This window comes from Homo sapiens, chromosome 22 (genome assembly GCF_000001405.40).
Source record: "Homo sapiens chromosome 22, GRCh38.p14 Primary Assembly".
Lineage (NCBI taxonomy): Eukaryota > Metazoa > Chordata > Mammalia > Primates > Hominidae > Homo > Homo sapiens.
In genome coordinates, this window is record NC_000022.11 from 46,027,757 (window position 1) to 46,045,486 (window position 17,730).

Below are 17,730 nucleotides of genomic sequence, written 5' to 3' on the forward strand. Positions count from 1 at the left end.
TCAGCCTGGCAGCGCGTCTGGGCGGGCGGCCCGGCCCGGCCTGGGAGCCCCTCACGTTCCCTGCCGGGAGCCCCCTCCTACCAGGCCCCCTCCCCCAGCTTCCCCTGCCGCCAGGAGACCCCACTTACTCTGCCAGGAGCTCCCCACGACCCTAGCTGCCAGGTGCCTCCACCCGATTCCACCTCCACTCCTCCTGCCAGAAGACCCCCTCTCCGGCTGCCGTGGGTGCCTTCTGCCCAGCCAGAAGGGCGGGTGCACCTTGCAGGAATGGCTGGCTGGGGAGCCTGGGGCGTAGGACCCTTCTGGGACTCTGACAGGACTCTCTGTGGGGCCTGGGGCATCTTCTCTCAGCCTCGATTTCCCCTGAACAATGAGGCAGGTTGCCCTTCATGATCTCCAGAGGCACTTCCAGAGCTGGGGTCTCCCAGCAGGTGCAGGGAAGGTAGTGGTAAAGATGGCATTCCCCCAGCTCCCGCCTGCTCTGCCATTATCCAGCCTGCTGGCCTGGGGACAGTCACCCTGAGCCCTGAGTCTGGGTCACCGTCTCCAGAGATGCCTTGAGGACTAACGGAGCTGAGCATTCCACGTTGGGACCAGCCCTCAGAGTGTTCTGCCCTTATCATCATCCTTCCCACAGTGTAGCCCTGCTCAGGCAATATTATCATCCACCCGCTAGACTGGGAGCTTCGAGTAGGCAAGGACTTCTGAATTCCCACAGCACAGTGGCACCCAGGACGCACTGAATGACCTCACAGTTGGATAGGTGAAGGCCCACCAGTGTGGGTCACTCTGCACGATGGTGGATGGGGACAGGTCACCGCATTTGGCATTTCCAGTACTTGGAAAGAGGCTCAGAGCCTTTCTTGGGAGGTGGGAGCAGGCTTCTCCTGGGAGCTCCCCACTGGGTGTGTGGGCTCCATTGTCCAACAGGAACGTCCCCACCCCCAAGCCTCTGGGGAAGTGAGCAAGTTGTCTTTCTGCAGAAAGGTGTGTGCAGGAACACAGTGCCTGGCCAGGATGCCCATCAGGAGGTCTAGAGACTGGAACTGCAGACCTGGGGCCTCCGGCATGAGGTTGCCAAGGACCCACAACTTCCTGTAGCACTTTCCTCCTGGCACGTGTGAAGTCAGCGGCCCCACCTGATACCAGAGACAGCCCCCAGTGTTGGGGGCATCATGCTCGAGGGTGCGTTTCCCCCAGAGCACAAGAACCTGGGCCCCATAGACAAGCAGCCCCAGCCAGTCTCAGGCCCAAGAAAGAGGGACCAGGTGAGGCGGTGAAATGGGCACCAAAGGAGAGAAGCCAGCCTCAGACAGACCCTCAGACAGCAGAAAATCTAGCCTGGGGGTTCGAGGCCTTTCCCCAGCCCTCTCTCATTTCCCTCCAAACCTTAAATATGAAGTAGACATAATTACATGTACCTCGCTGCTCTAAGAATCACTTAGGGCCAGACGCAGTAGATCTTGCCTGTAATCCCAGCGCTTTGGGAGACTGAGGTGGGCGGATCACTTGAGCTCAGGACTTCCAGACCAGCCTGGGCAACATTAGTGTGATACCTTGTCTCCACAAAATAATAATAATAATAATAATAAGGCCGGGTGCAGTGGCTCATGCCTGTAATCCCAGAACTTTGGGAGGCCAAGACGGGAAGATCACTTGCGGTCAGGATTTTGAGACCAGCCTGGCCATCATGGTGAAACCCCATCTCTACTAAAAACACAAAATTAGCCCAGCGTGGTGGCACACGCCTATAGTCCCAGCTACTGAGGAGGCTGAGGAGGGAGGATTGCTTGGGCCCCAAGAGGTCAAGGCTGCAGTGAGCCATGATCACACCACTGCACTCAGCCTGAACAAGACCCTGTCTCAAAATACAGAATCACTTAGAAGCCTGGATGTTACCCTCCCTACACTGTGTTGCTAGCATCAGTTTCCTATGCGTCCCTAACCCCGTCCCTGCTTAGCTGGCTGGATACCACCCCCAGCTGTTTTCCAGCCACCCCAGCTTTGTCTTGCACATGGTGCTCTCCTGCCCGTGGAATGCCCTCTCAGCCTGCCACTTGCCAATGAGCTCATCCTGCAAGGCTTGGTTCAGATACCACCTCCTCCAGGAAGATGCCCTTGATCCTTTCCTCCTCTCTTTTCCCACCTGCCTAGGTTTTTGATGCCATGATAAGGAATTCGGCTGCAGATCCTAGGGCAATAGGGAGCCACTGCAGGCTCTAAACAGGGAGCAGTGACCCAGCAACTCTCCCTGGTGGCCTCTGCAGGGAGCATGCAGACAGGGGTTCTCAGACATCCGGAATTCACAGGCTGGTCAAATTTCAAAGGAGTATTGCAGACCTACGGAAGATTGCCAACTTTCTATTTTTCCATGTTAGGGCCTTTAGAAAAATAATTACAATTTCCCTTTTTGAGAGAATATCTTTAAACCAAAAAAAAAAAAAAAGTAAGAAGACAATCTCAGGGCAAAGGCCATTCCATTGTGCTGGATAAACAGAGCCTTATGGAAAACTCGCCACATGGTCCTCACATTTGATGGTTGGAAAACAGCTAGCGGTGGTATCCGGCCTAACAGCTGGAACCGTGATCAGGGCTGGGCCTCCATATAGGTGTGGCCTCCTCTCGGCATCCCTTCCTGCCCCAGACCACAGGTTTCCTGAACCCCCTAGACCAAGTGGGTTTCCTGGCTGGTCCCCTGGCTGCACTCAGGCCCTCTAACCTGGCGGTTCTCAGAGGTCAACCCAGATGAGTATCGGGCTGGCCAGTGTGATGAGCGCCCACCATGGGGAGGCCCCTGGGGCAGCCTGCAGCTCCAGCACTCATGGGTCACTGCAGCCTCGACTTCCTGGGCCCAAGCAATCCTGACTCCAAGATGCAAGGACGCTTATGAGAATAGAGAAGAGGGGACAAGGCACAGATGCCCTCTGTCCCCACAGTGTGAGGCAAGGAGCAAACTTGTGTGTGCATGAGCCTGGGGCCACCCATGGGGGAGGGAATGCCTGATGCATGACCAGCCTGAGTGGAGCGTCCACACTGAGCCTTGCAGATTGTTCTAGAAGGAGATTCATCCTCCCTTCCAAGGGCAGGCTCTACTGTGGATGTTCTGCTGATCAGACAGTGGGTACTATCAGTAATTAGCATTGAAATCCTGCGCTCAGCCTCAGAGCTGGGAGGCCCAGGGTGACCACTGAGGACAGCTCAGCATTGAAGAGAGGCCTGAAGATGATTAGGGGCAGGGTTACACTGGTTACACCTGCTCTATTAGGTGACGTGAATTTGTAATCTTGTTTCCAGCTTTCCTTTGCCTTTTAATCCTTCTTTGTCAAGAACAAAATTCAAGCTATCCTGTTACCAAATGATCACATGTTTGAAATGTGAGGTCTGGAATAATCTCCGACCAGTGCTAGCCCATGTATCAGTGCTCAGCCGCTCGCTTTAACCAGGCTGTGTTGTCCTGGACTTGCCCCTCCAAATATGATGTGACTCAACACTCATGTCAGGCCCTGGGCTAGGCACCGAGGACGCTCAAGACACAGTCCTTGGCCGGGCGCGGTGGCTCACGCCTGTAATCCAGCACTTTGGGAGGCCAAGTTGTGGGGGGGGGGGGGCGGATCACCTGAGGTCGGGAGTTCAAGACCAGCCTGACCAACATGGAGAAACCCCGTCTCCACTAAAAATACAAAATTAGCCCAGCGTGGTGGAGCATGCCTGTAATCCCAGCTACTCGGAAGGCTGAGGCAGAGAATCGCTTGAACCCAGGAGGTGGAGATTGCAGTGAGCTGAGATTGCTCCATTGCACTCCAGCTTGTGCAACAAGAGCAAAACTCTGTCTCAAAAAAAACAAAAACAAACAAACAAACAAAAAAACAGTCCTTGCTGTCTTGTAACCAGAGGCAGGAAGAGCCTATTTCTCAGGAGTGGCTTGTCATGGCCAAGGGATCCATCCTGGAAAGCTCCCTGGAGGAGGCGGTAGCTGAGTGGAGCCTTTCACATGGTAAGTGCTCACTAGTGTCAGCTGCTGTTGTTATTCCCAGTAGGAATAAGAGGGGAGAAGCTCTGATCACCATGCAGGTGGGAAGAGCATCCCCTTCAGAGGGAAAAGCAGAGAAAAGGCAAGGAGTTCTCTCCCAGCCAAGTGGGGGGTGGGGTGGGGAGTTGGTGGTCAGTGATGGGGAAGTGGGGGGTGGTGGCGAGGCTGGAAAGAGAAGCAGGGGGCCAACCCTGCTTTGGTTCTTAAAACAAAACGGTTTTTTGTTTTTGTTTTTTTTTTTTAAGGTGGGGATAGGACCTGTGTGGATTTGGGAAACGACTCTGGCAGCGGCCCAGCCCCGGGGGAGGAGGCTGCAGTTAGGGAGGCCACTATTTGGGTGAGGGGAAGTGTGGCCATGGGGAGGGGAGGAGCCCAGGCTGAATTACAGGGGAGGTTTTAGGAAGAACAGCCAGGACTTGTACATCTGGTGGCCCCAGGGCCCTGGCTTGTGCTCAGGATTGACAGATGTGGAACGGGTACCCCAGGTCAGCCTTGGTATGGGGCTGAGGCCCTGTGTGACTGGGCTGAGTGGGGTGGCCACTGGAATATCCTGCAAATCACCCCTGTGCTGCCGTGACGGAGGGACCTGATGGTGGGAGGCTGCAGGGGGATCCTAGTCGTGGCCGCTTCTTACGGGGGTCCTGCTTCCCAGCAAAGATGCATCAAGGAATATGGAGCCTGCAATTGTGGGGCTGCCCTCCACACCAGAGTGAAGAGCCAGAGGGGCCTCGTGGAAATGTGCAGGGCATGTCACACCCACACCTGAGAAAAGGGCCCAGTCCTGACAGCACCAGCAACCAAGCAGTTAAAAGTATTCCGTGGCTTCCAGGGTCACAGAGTGGAGCCTTCCCCAGAGTCCAGAGCCTGGATCCAGGGTCATTGTCCCTGCAGAGCTCAGAGCCCAGATTCTCCCTGCCCCACCTCACTGTCTTTGGGATTGATTGCTCAGCAAAGACAAAAAGGCAGCGATCCTCCATGGACCAAAGCCTCTGAGCCAGGGCCCATCCCCCAACAGTGGGGTTCCTGCTATAACAGGTCTCCTGCCAGGTAGGATAAGACACCTCTGTGTAAAAAACATGTCCACACACACTCCCGCGATGTTGGTGCAAAAACAATCTGTTCGCCCTTCCTAGAGTACTGACTGGTAATACCATATTCAAAAGCCTTTAAAAAAGCAAATCCTCAGTGAAGTTACAATTATTCTCCTGGGAGTACACCAAGGGAATTATTAGACAAAGATGTTCATAGCAGCAGGTTTGTAAATCACCTAGACAGCCAATCATCAAGAGTGAGGTAAAGAAGTTACATATGGGACATCTGAACAACGGATTCTTCTGCAATCATTGAAGTGTGATCTAGAAATATTTAAAGAGATGAGTTGTTTGTGGCAAATTAGTGAAAGTGCAGAGAGTAAAATGTGACGTATGACCACGATGACTTTAAATATGTATTACAAATAGACAAGAAAGGCTGGACAAATATCCACCTGAATGTCAGCTGTGTTTCTCTGAGTTGGGATTCTGTCTATTTGTTATGGTCTCAGGGATGCTTTCCCATGTTTGCAAATTTGCAGATGACGAACATGTATCATCCATGTTTGCAAAGGGAATCAGTTTGTGTGTGTGTGTGTGTGTGTGTATCTCAATGGCACAGAAATAAAAGGCCAAGTTAAAGATCCATAGTGACTCACTGCTTCCCCAAAGCAAGTTTTCTCTCTCCCAGCTTGGAAATTATTATGGAAAATGCCAGATGTGTGAGGCCTGGCTTGGACCTTGTTTATGCAGAGCTGGGCTCCCCAGAAGGGCCATCCCCAACCACCTAGGCAGGGTCACCCAGGAGGAGCTAGTTACGTGTGCAGGCCTTGTTCCATGCAAGCATTCTTGGGACCAGAATCTAAGAAATATCTTTTATTTTTTTTCCTCCAGAAATGTCTTTGTGTGTATCTAGTAAAATATACATAACAAAATTTACCATTTACCATTTCAGTAGCATTAAGTACATTCACTTGCTGGGCAACCATCACCATGATCTGTCTCCACAACTTTTTCATCATCCCAAACTGAAACTCCATACCTACTAAATAATAACCCCTCAATCTCGGCTCTCCCCAGTGCCCAGTAAGCACTGCTTTACTTTCTGACTCTATGAATTTGACTATTCTCGGGACCTCGTACAGGTGGAATCGTACACTATGTGCCCTTTCGTGTTTGGCTTGCTTCACTGAGCGTCATGTTTTCAAGGTTGATCCACGTCATATCATGTGTCACAACTTCATTCCTTTTGAAAGCTGAGTAACACTCCATCGTATATATATATATCACCTTTTCTTTCTCCGTTCATCTACCCATGGACACTGGGGCTGTTTCCACCTTTTGTCTATTATGCATAATGCTGCTTCTTTTTTGTACCAGAAGTGTACAAATATTTGTTAGTGTTTCTGTCTTCAATTTTGGGGGGTATATTCTTAGGAGTGGAATTGCTGGGTCCTGTAGTAGTTCTGTATTTACATTTTTGAGGAACTCTCATACTGTTTTCCATAGCAGGTGCACAATTTTACATTCCCACTAACAAAGCTAACATTCCCACCAACAAAGCTAACATTCCCACCAACAGGGTTAATTTTTAAATTTTTTGTAAAGATGAGTTCTCACAATGTTGCCCAGGCTGGTCTCCAGCTTGTTTTTGTTTTGTTTTGTTTTGTTTTGCTTTGTTTTAGACAGAGTTTCACTCTTGTTGCCCAGGCTGGAGTGTAATGGCACGATCTCGGCTCACCACAACCTCTGCCTCCCAAGTTTAAGCAATTCTTCTGCCTCAGCCTTCTGAGGAGCTGGGATTACAGGCGCCCACCACCATGCCTGGCTAATTTTTGTATTTTTAGTAGACACAGGGTTTCTCCATGTTGGCCAGGCTCCTCTCAAACTCCCGACCTCAGGTGATCCACCCGCCTCAGCCTTGGTCTTGAGCTCCTGAGCTCAAGCAATCCTCCTGCCTTGGCTTCTTAAAGTGTTGGAATTACAGGGGTGAACCACCATGCCCAGCCAGGACTTCTTTACATATTCTGCAAATGAGAGATATTTTTTGTATATACAGTACTACAGTTTAAACCAATTGTTAAAATACTAATTCATTACTTTTTAAATTTGGAAAACATAAAAAGGGAGGTACAAGAAGCATTCGTGTTTATATGCTTTGACTCAGCAATTCCACATCTAGGGATTGGATATGCACAGATTTAGCTGCAAGAATGTTTATCGTAAAAGAAAGAAGTAAGGAAGAGATGAAACTGAAAACAACATCAATATCCAATAATCTCACATGGGTTAAATAAAATACAGCCCCGCTGTGTATGATCATAAGCAATGCTGTGAATGAACACTAAATGATGTGTGACATTTAGAATATAGCCACGGTTACAAAGACAAAGTTGCAAAGCAATATTTACGGCATGATCCATTTTTTGTCTCAACAAATGCATAATTGTGTAAAAAGAAAGTCAAATGTTAACAATGGTGATCTCGTGTGAGGGAATCTCAGTCTACTTTTCTTCTTTGTATTTTTTTCCAGTTTTCCAAATTTCATGCAATAAACGTGTGGTCTTGCAATCAGACAAAAAATGTTATTTTTTAAGCCACAAGCATATATACAATGTTATCCCGATGATGTAAATATCTATATATTTCGATAAAAAGATACTCCAGGCCAGTATTTTCCCTGGTGCCTCGGAAAGGTTTCTCCTTTTCTTACTTTGTACTCGCCTAGGTTTTACAAATTCTCCACTGTCTGGTTGTTTTACCTGGTTTAGGGAGGGGAAAAATACAGGAAAAGTTGTTAAACTTTAAAGTGGAGATCCAATTTGCGCGAAAGCTCGGAATCAGCCCCACGGCCCGCGGCCGCAATGAGGCCCCGCCCAGGCCCCGCCCCAGCCCCGCCAGGCCCCGCCCCACAGCCGCCTGCCGAGCCTTTCCCTGAGCTTTCTGAGCGGGCCGCGCAGAGGCCCCGCCCAGGCCCCGCCCAAGCCCCGCCCTCTCGACTGTGACGCAACATCCGCACAGCCCGCGGCCTGGAATCTAAGAGACTGCCACCCAGAGGCCCCGCCCCTGGCGCGTAGAGGCCCGGCGATAGACTTGGCCCCGCCCCCTCAGCTGCGGCGCTACGTCCGCACCGCCCGCCTCACCCTCGCTGGGGCTTCCGGAACAGGTCGCGCCGAGGCCCCGCCCCCCGGCTGCACCAGGCCCCGCCCCTTTGGCTACGGCACTGCGACCGCGCCGCGCGTCGCGCCCTCGTCCTGACTTCCGGGGCGGGACGGAAGAGCGGGCGGGACCGTCCAGTCCAAGGCGCCGCGGCTTCCGCCCGGGAGGCGGGCTGGTCCCAAACGAGGTCGTGCGCGCTTCCTGCGATGGTTTTTTGCTGTCCCCGTCTGGCCCCAGGTGCGCGGGACGTAGAGGCCGGACAGCCGGGAGGCGGAGATGAAAGGGGCCAGCGGCCCGGCCCCGGGGACACGCGTGCCAGGCCCTGCTGCAGCCCCCGAGAGGTCGGAGGCGCGGAGCCAGGGCTGACCCTGTGCACTGGGTCGAGGGCCACCCCTCGTCTCAGCCTAAGCTGGACGCACCACCCGGGCAGAAGTGACATCAGAACCCTAGGCTCCGTTGTCAACCACGGTTACTGATGTCACCCCTTCTGCACAGGGAGGAAGGTGTGGCCCAGCGAGGCATCCTCCCGTCTTAGTCGGGGTCTGCCCTGGGTGGGAGGGATTGTAGGACCCCCTCTCCGCTGGCTGTGACAGCCTAAGCTGGTGAGCTGTTTCTAGCCAGAGTGCCCCTTCGGTGAAGTCTAAAGCCCCGAGATGTCAACGGCAGCTGCCGTGTATTGAAAAGCATGTGCCAGGCCATCCTGGACTTAGACGTAAATGTGTTATCTCAGTACTCCTGGCAGCTGTATAAACGTGCATGCCACCCCTTTTCACAGATGAGGGGCCGAGGTCAGAGAAGCAGCTTGCCAGAGGCCCTGGAGGGCAAAGGGACACAGCCTAGATTTGGACCCAGATCCTTGATACTGAATCTCAGCTGTTAGCCTGTGTGCTGAGCCGGCATCCTGTGATAATAGTTTCCCTTCAGTAGGTGTAGCTGGCTGGCAGCTCTGTTGATTACCTTAGCTCACTGCTGCCTCCTCGAGTTGGAAGACCCGCTTACCCAGAGCTAAGCCCCTCTCCCAACTCTGAAGGTGCTCAGCATCCCTCAGCTTGACCCAGGTTGCCTGGAGATTCCCACCCACTGGTTACCCCAGATCTCCCAATACTCTGCCTCCCTTTGCTTGGGGTGGGAAAGGATGCCCTCTGCCCAGGATCTGAATGGCCGGTGTGTGGCGCCAAGCCTGCTGGGCCTGTGGTGCCAGGGCTACAAGTGCACAACAGAACACCCCCAGTGTGCTCACACAGTGTCAAGCCAGCCCCCAGGGTGCCGAGGCTGCCTCTCCCCTCTGTACCCCGTCCTCCCTTGTAATGCGGAGGGGGCAGTCTGGCTTTTTCCTTGGCTTTCCAGGTTGGTATATGCTGGACGTCAGCAGCAGATAGGACACCCCAGCACAATGAGCCCGCAGCAATCCGGACTTTCTAGCCTTCAAGTGTACCTCAGAGCGGAAGCTGCGCATTTGATTTTTTTTTTTTTTTTTTGGCTCCATATTAAAGAACAAAGCATGGGAACTGGACAGGTCCCTCTGTAAACAGAAAACACATGTTTTCTGAGAGAATGGGCCCTTCCTTTCCTGGTTTCATCTCCCGTGGACAGAGGCCTCCTTAGGCCCGCTGACTTCAAGACCATGGAGACTGTGGACCGAGGGCTGAGAGGAGGTGATTCTTCTTTGCTCAACTCAGGGACCGGACACTCGCCTTCTTTTTTTTTTTTTTTTTTTTTTTTTGAGAGTCTCGCTCTGTCGCCCAGGCTGGAGTGCAGTGGCGCGATCTCAGTTCACTGCAAGCTCCGCCTCCCGGGTTCACGCCATTCTCCTGCCTAAGCCTCCGGAGTACCTGGGACTACAGGCACCCGCCACCAAGCCCGGCTAATTTTTTTTTTTTTTTTTTTTTGTATTTTTAGTAGAGACGGGTTTCACCATGTTAGCCAGGATGGTCTCGATCTCCTGACCTCGTGATCCGCCTGCCTCGGCCTCCCAAAGTGCTGGGATTACAGGCATGAGCCACCGCGCCCAGCTGACATTTGCCTTTTTGAATGGGGGCCAGGACAAGTGCTAGAGGTCTGCTCAGCAGTGGGGTGTGGTCTGAGGAGGGAGGGCCCCTCAGAGACCTGAACAGGAAGTGGGGGTCTGCACCATTTGTGTCCTCCAAGCACACTAGAATTGTTTAGGGTTCTACCCGAGCTAGCTCCAAGTGAACGTGTGTTCTTTGGAGCCTGCTAGCCACAAATGGGCAGAGACCTCTAACTCAGATGAGAAGCCTGTGTCTGCAAAGAATGGGCATTCTTGGACTGAGTACCCACTGCTGTGTGTCCTTGGGCAAGTTTCTTAACCTCTCTGGGCCTCACGTTTCTCATCTGTAAAAGCAGGATAATAGTTATTTAGGATTCAATAAGATCATGGAAATAGCCCCATTGGACACATAACTAGGAGCTAATTAATAAGTGAGCAAAATCAAACATTGTCTCTGTTTCAATGCTGAGCTACGGTAGAGTGGCCCAAGAATCCTCTACAGACACCCAGGGTGCCCATACTCCAAGGAGCACCTCCTCTTCCCCTGCCTTCTGTTGGGCACAGCCACTCCCAGGCCGCCGTGACACCTTTTTGGAAGCAGCCGTCTTGCAGACAGATCATCCCTTTGAATCTCCCCAGCAGCCTGAACTTTGTCCTTGAGGGGAGATTTGATTTGCGGAAATAATCAGACATCCTTTAAGACAAGTCTGCTGAATGGATGCTCAGAAGCCAAGCCAGGGCCTCCTGTCCAGGGCCAGCATGTGCCACGACTGTAAAGTCAGAAGCCAGTCTGGCCACGTGCTCTGAAGGCAGTATAGAAAAGATCTGGACTGGATCATCGCCACTGGCGTTGGTGGGTGTGAGCGACGTGTCCGTGTGTGTGTGTGTGTGTGTGTGTGCGTGTGTGCATGTGTGTATGAAAATAGAGATATTCACACACACCCCTGAGCTTGGTGGACGGACCAAACCAAAGCCTGCCTAATTAACATGAGGCTGCCTTTCATCTCTCAGCCCACAACTTGATTTTCATGGAAATTTCTCTGTGTGGGAAAATTACAAGCATTTCTGATACAGGCAAGTGTTGTGAGAGTATGGCAGCATGTTGTCCTGGAATACTGGGATTTAGAGGCTGGGTTCCCCTAGCCTGTTCCTAACCAGCTGTGTGGCCTCTGGCTCCTTTCTTCACCCCCCATCTCTTGGTTTCCCCATCTCAAGTGCTCCAGGAAGGAAACACACAGGCTGTGCCCACATGCGTGGGCATTCACAGCACGTGCGGGTGACATTGCTCATTAAAACACTGTAAAAATTAATTGGCATTCACAAAGTTCTAGTCACAATAGCAAACATTTTAAAAAATCAGAAACAGGCCAGGCACAGTGGCTCACGCCTGTAATTTCAGCACTTTGGGAGGCCGAGGTGGATCACTTGAGCCTGGGAGGCAGAGGTTGCAGTGAGCCGAGATTGCACCACTGCACTCCAGCCTGGGTGACAGTGAGACCCTGTCTCAAAAAACAAACAAACAGACAACACAAACAATTCAATTGTCCATCAGTATGTGAGTGGGTAAACAAATGTCAATAGGCATATGATAAAATATCACGTAGCAGTAAAAAGGAATGGGCTATTGATAAACTCAACAACATAGATAGCAGGATCCCGAGCAAGAGTTCATACTCCATGAGTTAAAATTTTTTTTTAATAAATTGAAACTGATCTACGGTGGTTGGATTCAGATTGCTGGCTGCCAGGAAGTCAGAGACTGCCTGCAAGGGGCTCTAGGGAACATTTTGTGGTGATGTTTTCTTTCTTGATCGTGGTGATACATGTCACGGTTGCATACATTGTCAAAACTCATCGAACAGTAGAGGTGAAAGGGATTTTGCTGCATGGAACTTATTCCTTAATAAGGTTGATTTCAAAAATTAACTGGTATTTATACTTTATTTTTCAAATCTTGTAGAAAATAATGACATAAAATGCTCACAACGTATTCAACAAAAAGACTGTAAAATAACCTATAGTATGATCTAATGATTATATATACATGAATATATGTATGCATTTATAACTTACGATATGGTCCATTCATATAGATATGTGTACACACACACAAACACATATATGCATGCGCACATATATACACATACAGTTTGGAAAATATAGCAGAAGGACTTTCAACCAAATGCATTCAGTAATTACCTCATGGGTAATTGTTTTCTTTTTATTTTTTAATTCTAAATACCCTCTTAGTTTTTTCTTAATTCTAAATATCCTCTTAGTTTTTTTTTTTTTTTTTTGTACTTTTCTGTAATGAACACTATTTTTGTGGAAGAGAGTCTTTTTTGCTTGCTGTATTTTTCTTTATTGTTAATTGACAAATAATTGTATGTATTCATGAGGTATAATATGTTATATATATAACACTTTTCTTTTTATAAACAAATAAAAACAAACATCTCTCTTTTTTTTTTCCAGCTGTAGCAGGCCAGGGACATGGGGCTGGGCCCTGGACAGGGTGGTGAGGACATCCCGGTTCCCACGAAAAGCAACCGCCTGGCAAGTCTGGAGCAGGCGAAGAGGGAGTGAGGGGGTGTGGCTCGCTCCCCAAGTTCTTTGGCTCAGCTTCAGTGCTGGGTCATTCTTGGGGACTGCTATGCCCACTGGGCACTGCAGAACTTCTGGTGCGTGTGGCTAAGGGGAGTCGGGAAGAGCCCTGTCCCTGGACCAGACCTTCCTGTTGGGAGTACTGGGACCCAGTGACCTTGTGCACCTTTCCTGAAGCTTCTGGGCCCCAAGTGGTCGAATGCAGAGTGGGCTGGGGAGTCACAGACTGTGCTTCCTGCTTTCAACCTCCGTTCCAGGTTCCTGTGCGTTCCGTGGGCCCATCCACCTGGCTGGGCTTGGCTAGGCTGTGACCTTCTCTGAGGACAGGGCTCTGCCTGCATTTGGAGCTGCTGGGACCTCAGTGTCACCCCCCACTCTCGCCAGCTGGCCTCACAAAGGTGCCCAGGAGGAGACCTGATTGCCGACTCCTTTCCCCTCCCTGGCTGAGCAGATTCTACAACAGCCTGTGGAAATTAAAATAAGAGCTTAAAACTGTCAAAAAAATTTTTTTTAACCAAGTCACAAATGGGAAAGCTGAGGCGGCAGCAGGTTAAGGACACTTTGTGATGTAGCGTTCTCTCCCAGTGCTTTCGTACTGTAAACATCACAGTCCACGGTCCCTGTGAACAGGCAGCCACAGAGACTGGGTTTAGACTTGCCGGGGAAGGCTGCATCCAAAGTGGGGCCAGCTCAGAACTATTCCACCACATGGGGGGCCATTAGTTCTGCTCAGTTCTGTGGGGCCTCACTAGTGTTTCTATTTAAAAATAAGTCAAGGTAAAAGAAAAAGTTTCAAAATGTAACAGTCACGTATCTATTTCTGTAATTGTAAAGAAATACACTGTCATGTGACGGCTGGAGGCTCTGGAGCAGAGGGCCTAGGAGGAATTTTTTTTCTTTTTCTTTTTCTTTCCTGAATTCTCCAAACCGTCTATCACAGTGTGTATTGCTTTTATAACGGGAAGAGATAAAATAGACTTACATTAAAAATAATCAAACTGCACCTGTGCCTACATGTCAAATGATAAACGTGACAATCAAAGGCACTTTTTATTTATCGAATACCTGGTTCATGCCACATCTCCTGCTAGGCCCTCCCAGCGTGCTGGCTCCTCAGAACACCCTGCAGGTGGGAGCTGGGCACCAGGGTCCCTGAGGCAGCATTCAGCACCCACGTGGCAGAGCCAAGGCTGGACAGGGATGATTCCAACATCCAGGATTGTATTATGCTTATAACGACTTCCTGCCTGTTTGTATTTAAGACAAGGTCTCTCACTGCAGCTTTGACCTCCCGGGCTTGAGCAGTCTTCCCACCTCAGCCTCTGGAGTAGCTGGGAGTTACAGGTGCACACCCCCATGCTTGGCTAATTTTTGTATATTTTGCATAGACAGGGTTTCGCCGTGTTGCCCAGGCTGGTCTGGAATTCCTGGGCTCGTGCGATCCACCAGCCTCGGCCTCCCAAAGTGCTGGGATTACAGGCGTGAGCCACAACGCCCAGCCCCTGTCTCTTAAAGGTGAACATTTTCCCTAAATACAATGATCTTCAGTTAAAATATTTGTATCTTACATAGAATCTGGAATTATTTCTGTAAACAGAATTTAGTAAAAGAAATATAAAAATCAGCTGGGCACGTTGGCTCACGCCTGTAATCCCAGCACTTTGGGAGGCCGAGGTGGGCGGATCACAAGTTCAGGAGATCGAGACCACCACCCTGGCCAACATGGTGAAATCCCGTCTCTACTAAAAATACAAAAATTAGCTGGGCATGATGGTGCGCACCTGTAGTCCCAGCTACTCAGGAGGCTGAGGCAGGAGAATCGCTTGAACTCGGGAGGCGGAGGTTGCAGTGAGCCAAGATCGCACCACTGCGCCACTGCACTCCACCCTGGTGACAGAGCAAGACTGTGTCTCAAAAAAAAAAAAAAAAAAAAAAAGGAAAAAGAAAGAAAGAAAAAAAGAAATATAAAAATCATAGATTTTTACCTTATTTTACCTTATGACACTGTTGACCAACAGCCAAAGTCAGAATCAATTATGTAACTCTCAGAGCCTAGAACAAAATGAAAATATGGGTTCCCTTGTTCAAGAATGACTAAGAATTTTAAGACCGGGGACAGCCAAACATTGAGTGTGGGGCCCTTCTGCACACCGGCCCTCTACCACTGGGCAAGCCACACAGCCACAAAGTCAGCCCTGGACAAGTTATTGATAGTGTATGATAGAACTAAGGTGACGGTTCCCTTTGGGACACACTCTAATCACCAGTGACCACCAGTCAGAAAACAAATGGGCTCAAGCCGCAGGAAGATGAGCCGTTCCCAAGGCATTTTCCAATCCAAAAAATAGCGGTCGCAGCTCAGGAATGAAGTTCCCAGTGAGGATGCAGCGGGAGACACAGCCAGCCTTCCCTCCCCAGGAAAGGGCCAGGCCCTGCATAGGAGCTTTCATTAAAAACCAGGGAGGCTGCAGATTCTCTTGAAATGACAACACGCTCGTGCCACACCTCGATAGAGCTTCAGTCACTCTGCTGTGGAGCGTGCGAGGCTGACCATCCTAGGCCTTGGGGAGAAATCATGACAGCTGATGCCAGTGCTTGTTACTGGGAAAACACAGTAAGAAACTTCATCCCTAAATGTTTATACCTACTATGTACTCACAAAAATTTAAAAAAAGATTTAGTATGAAAATGTAAAGTATCTCATTAATCTTTATCTTGATCGTATGTTGAACTGATAATATTTTGGATATATTGGTTTAAATAAAATATATTAACTAAAAAAAAAAAAAAGGAAAACTTCATCCCGCCGCCTCTGAGAAAGGATCTTGGGGTTCATTGGCAGGTAAATGCTCCCCCAAAGGAGGTCCACTGTGGATGCTGGAAACGAACTGTCAGCTGACAAGCATCTGTAGCTCTGAAAACAAGGGCTCCACACATTGTCCCAGCCAGCGCCCCACCAGCCCATCCCCATTACCTCTATGTCTTCAGCCCCACGTCAGGTTCTGGAAGTTTCCAGGGGGAGTGGACAGTACCCTCAGGGGCTCTTGGGGCTGAGACCTCTTCCATGAATCACGTATGGAAGCCCAGGACCAACCTCAGAGAGGATCATGTCTGAGAAGTCGTTTGAGGGGAAAAATATCCACTTAAGAGAGAGGTTCTCCAGCCCTTTGGAGCATCACACACGTTTGTGGGACAAAAGACAAATATTCCTCCCACCCCAATCCCCAACCAGGCTCCTTGTTCATTTTTCTTTAAAAAACAACAACAAAAAAAAAATCCGCATTCTCCCCAGCCTGAAATAGTGCTCTGGAGGAGCTGGCCTGGCCCGGAGTGTCTTCTCCGTAAACACACCTGGTGAGGAAGAACAGGAAGGACGGACAAAGGGAGGCCTCAGGCCCAGCTGGCAGCCAGATCTGTGCCTCCCAGCGCCTCCAGGGCCCTTGCAGTCTCGAGAGATGTGGCTTGGCCACTTTTGCAGATTCCCAGGCCTGGGGCCACTCAGTTGCCTCCCCCAGCCCAGGTGTCTCCTCGGGACCCTTGCCTGGGAGGGTTTGAAGCCAGGCAGGGAAAAGAGGGCAGAAAATGGTGGTGCCGGGGAGCTGGGCCGGGCCAGCAAATCATTCCGCAAGGTGGAGAACTGCAGGCTGAGGGCACCGTGGGCCTGGGCCCGGGACCCAGCATGGAACCCCTTCTCCTGGAGCACCAGGGGTCACAACAGTCCCTCCACTCCAGGGATCACGGGTGACCCACGGCCGGGTGCTTTGGGGACGAGACAAAGACAGCGTGTTCCTCAAGCCCCTGCCTACCGCTCCGTCACTGGGGCCATGGTCTGCGTGCCAACAACCTTTTAGGAAGCATCTTGTGCCCAACCTCACCACCCCGCAAAAAAACCTGTGTCCAAAACACTTGGCAGTGGGGCTTAAAACGCTCAGGTGCCCCGAGGAGGCGCCGGGAGATGAGCCCAGAGCGGTGGCTGGCGAAGGCCCCAGCAGGACTGGGGCGTGGAACTTGCTTGTTTACCTAAGAGAAAAACACGACGAAAAAAGCTTCTGGGTAGAATTGGAAGTTCTGGGGCTCTCGGCGCCGCGGCCTCCGCGCGGTTCTCTTCCTCCCCTCCCCGGCCTGCTTTTCCTCCTTCTTTCCCTCTTTGTTGCCAACCTCGGAGCCGCGACTGAAACCCAGCCCAGCGTGTCCGCGAAGCCCGGAAACTTCCAGCTCCGCGACTGTGCAGAAAGTTGGGGGGCGCGGCCGGGGTGACAGCAGCGCTTCGGGGGCGGCCGCGGCGGCCACCCGGACCTCGGCCTCCCGCGCCTCCCGCTGCCCCAGCCGCGCCCGGGGACCTCGGGCAGCCCGCGGGCCGGACGTGAACTTGACCCTGCGCTGTGCCCGCCTGGACCGCGGCGCGCTCGGGACGATCTGGTAAGCGCTCCCCCTCCCGCCCTCGCCCGGCGGCGCTGGGGTCCGGGTCGGGGTCCGGGCTCGACTGCGAGGGCGTGTCCCGGGGTGGCGGGCGCCGGGGCTCCTCGGCCGCTGCACCGGAGCGCACGGCCGAGCCCGCGGCCCGGCCCCCGGCGAAGTCAGCCCCCAGCCTCCCAAACAAAGACTCGCAAAGTTCGGAAGAGAATCTTTCCCGACATTTTCCCTCCCCTCGGGCTCTGCGCTGCGGCCATCAGGGCTCTTAAAAGAGAACCGAGAGCTCTCTGGTTTTCTCCTGGTGTTTTCTTCCCTGCGCTTTGCCCCCCACCTTTGGCTGGAGGGAAGGAGGAGGGGGCATGGATGCCCCTCGGGCCCTCAGGTGTTGACCCTCCGAGGCCAGGCTGCCCAGGGGCAGCACAGGAGGTGAGGGCCTGTGGGATGAGGGACCCCCGACAGCACAAGGAGGCAAGCCCCTCGCCGCT

General features: G+C 51.6%; 1 protein-coding gene and 2 long non-coding RNA genes across 3 annotated transcripts in view, besides 5 other annotated features; 2 read left to right on the forward strand and 1 right to left on the reverse strand.

The window, feature by feature from the left end:
- Window positions 1,004-1,557: an enhancer, noted in NCBI's record as "H3K4me1 hESC enhancer chr22:46424640-46425193 (GRCh37/hg19 assembly coordinates)". NCBI's record gives its function as "activates a minimal SCP1, AML or CMV promoter by ChIP-STARR-seq in naive H9 embryonic stem cells {active_cell/tissue: H9 hESC(naive)}" and the evidence as "EXISTENCE:reporter gene assay evidence [ECO:0000049][PMID:30033119]".
- Window positions 3,702-4,476: an enhancer, noted in NCBI's record as "NANOG-H3K4me1 hESC enhancer chr22:46427338-46428112 (GRCh37/hg19 assembly coordinates)". NCBI's record gives its function as "activates a minimal SCP1, AML or CMV promoter by ChIP-STARR-seq in primed H9 embryonic stem cells {active_cell/tissue: H9 hESC(primed)}" and the evidence as "EXISTENCE:reporter gene assay evidence [ECO:0000049][PMID:30033119]".
- Window positions 4,477-5,250: an enhancer, noted in NCBI's record as "H3K4me1 hESC enhancer chr22:46428113-46428886 (GRCh37/hg19 assembly coordinates)". NCBI's record gives its function as "activates a minimal SCP1, AML or CMV promoter by ChIP-STARR-seq in primed H9 embryonic stem cells {active_cell/tissue: H9 hESC(primed)}" and the evidence as "EXISTENCE:reporter gene assay evidence [ECO:0000049][PMID:30033119]".
- Window positions 7,893-7,982: a silencer, noted in NCBI's record as "silent region_13894". NCBI's record gives its function as "represses an Ori minimal core promoter by ATAC-STARR-seq in GM12878 lymphoblastoid cells {active_cell/tissue: GM12878}" and the evidence as "EXISTENCE:reporter gene assay evidence [ECO:0000049][PMID:35858748]".
- Window positions 8,043-8,642: a silencer, noted in NCBI's record as "silent region_13895". NCBI's record gives its function as "represses an Ori minimal core promoter by ATAC-STARR-seq in GM12878 lymphoblastoid cells {active_cell/tissue: GM12878}" and the evidence as "EXISTENCE:reporter gene assay evidence [ECO:0000049][PMID:35858748]".
- On the forward strand, window positions 8,354-12,681 carry LOC124905136 (uncharacterized). Its single transcript, XR_007068137.1, has 2 exons — window positions 8,354-8,457; window positions 9,568-12,681. It is a non-coding gene; the product is annotated as an uncharacterized LOC124905136 (long non-coding RNA).
- Window positions 12,151-17,112, reverse strand: LINC00899 (long intergenic non-protein coding RNA 899). The gene is made up of 4 exons (NR_027036.1): window positions 16,853-17,112; window positions 15,807-15,943; window positions 14,818-14,884; window positions 12,151-13,296 (listed from the first exon to the last, which is right to left on the reverse strand). It is a non-coding gene; the product is annotated as a long intergenic non-protein coding RNA 899 (long non-coding RNA).
- The window catches only part of LOC124905135 (collagen alpha-1(III) chain-like), a 69,285-nt gene continuing 68,442 nt past the window's right edge, over window positions 16,888-17,730 (forward strand). Inside the window, exon 1 of the mRNA XM_047441696.1 lies at window positions 16,888-17,251. The gene's annotated coding sequence lies outside the window, so the exon portion shown is untranslated. The remainder of the gene's footprint in view (window positions 17,252-17,730) is intronic.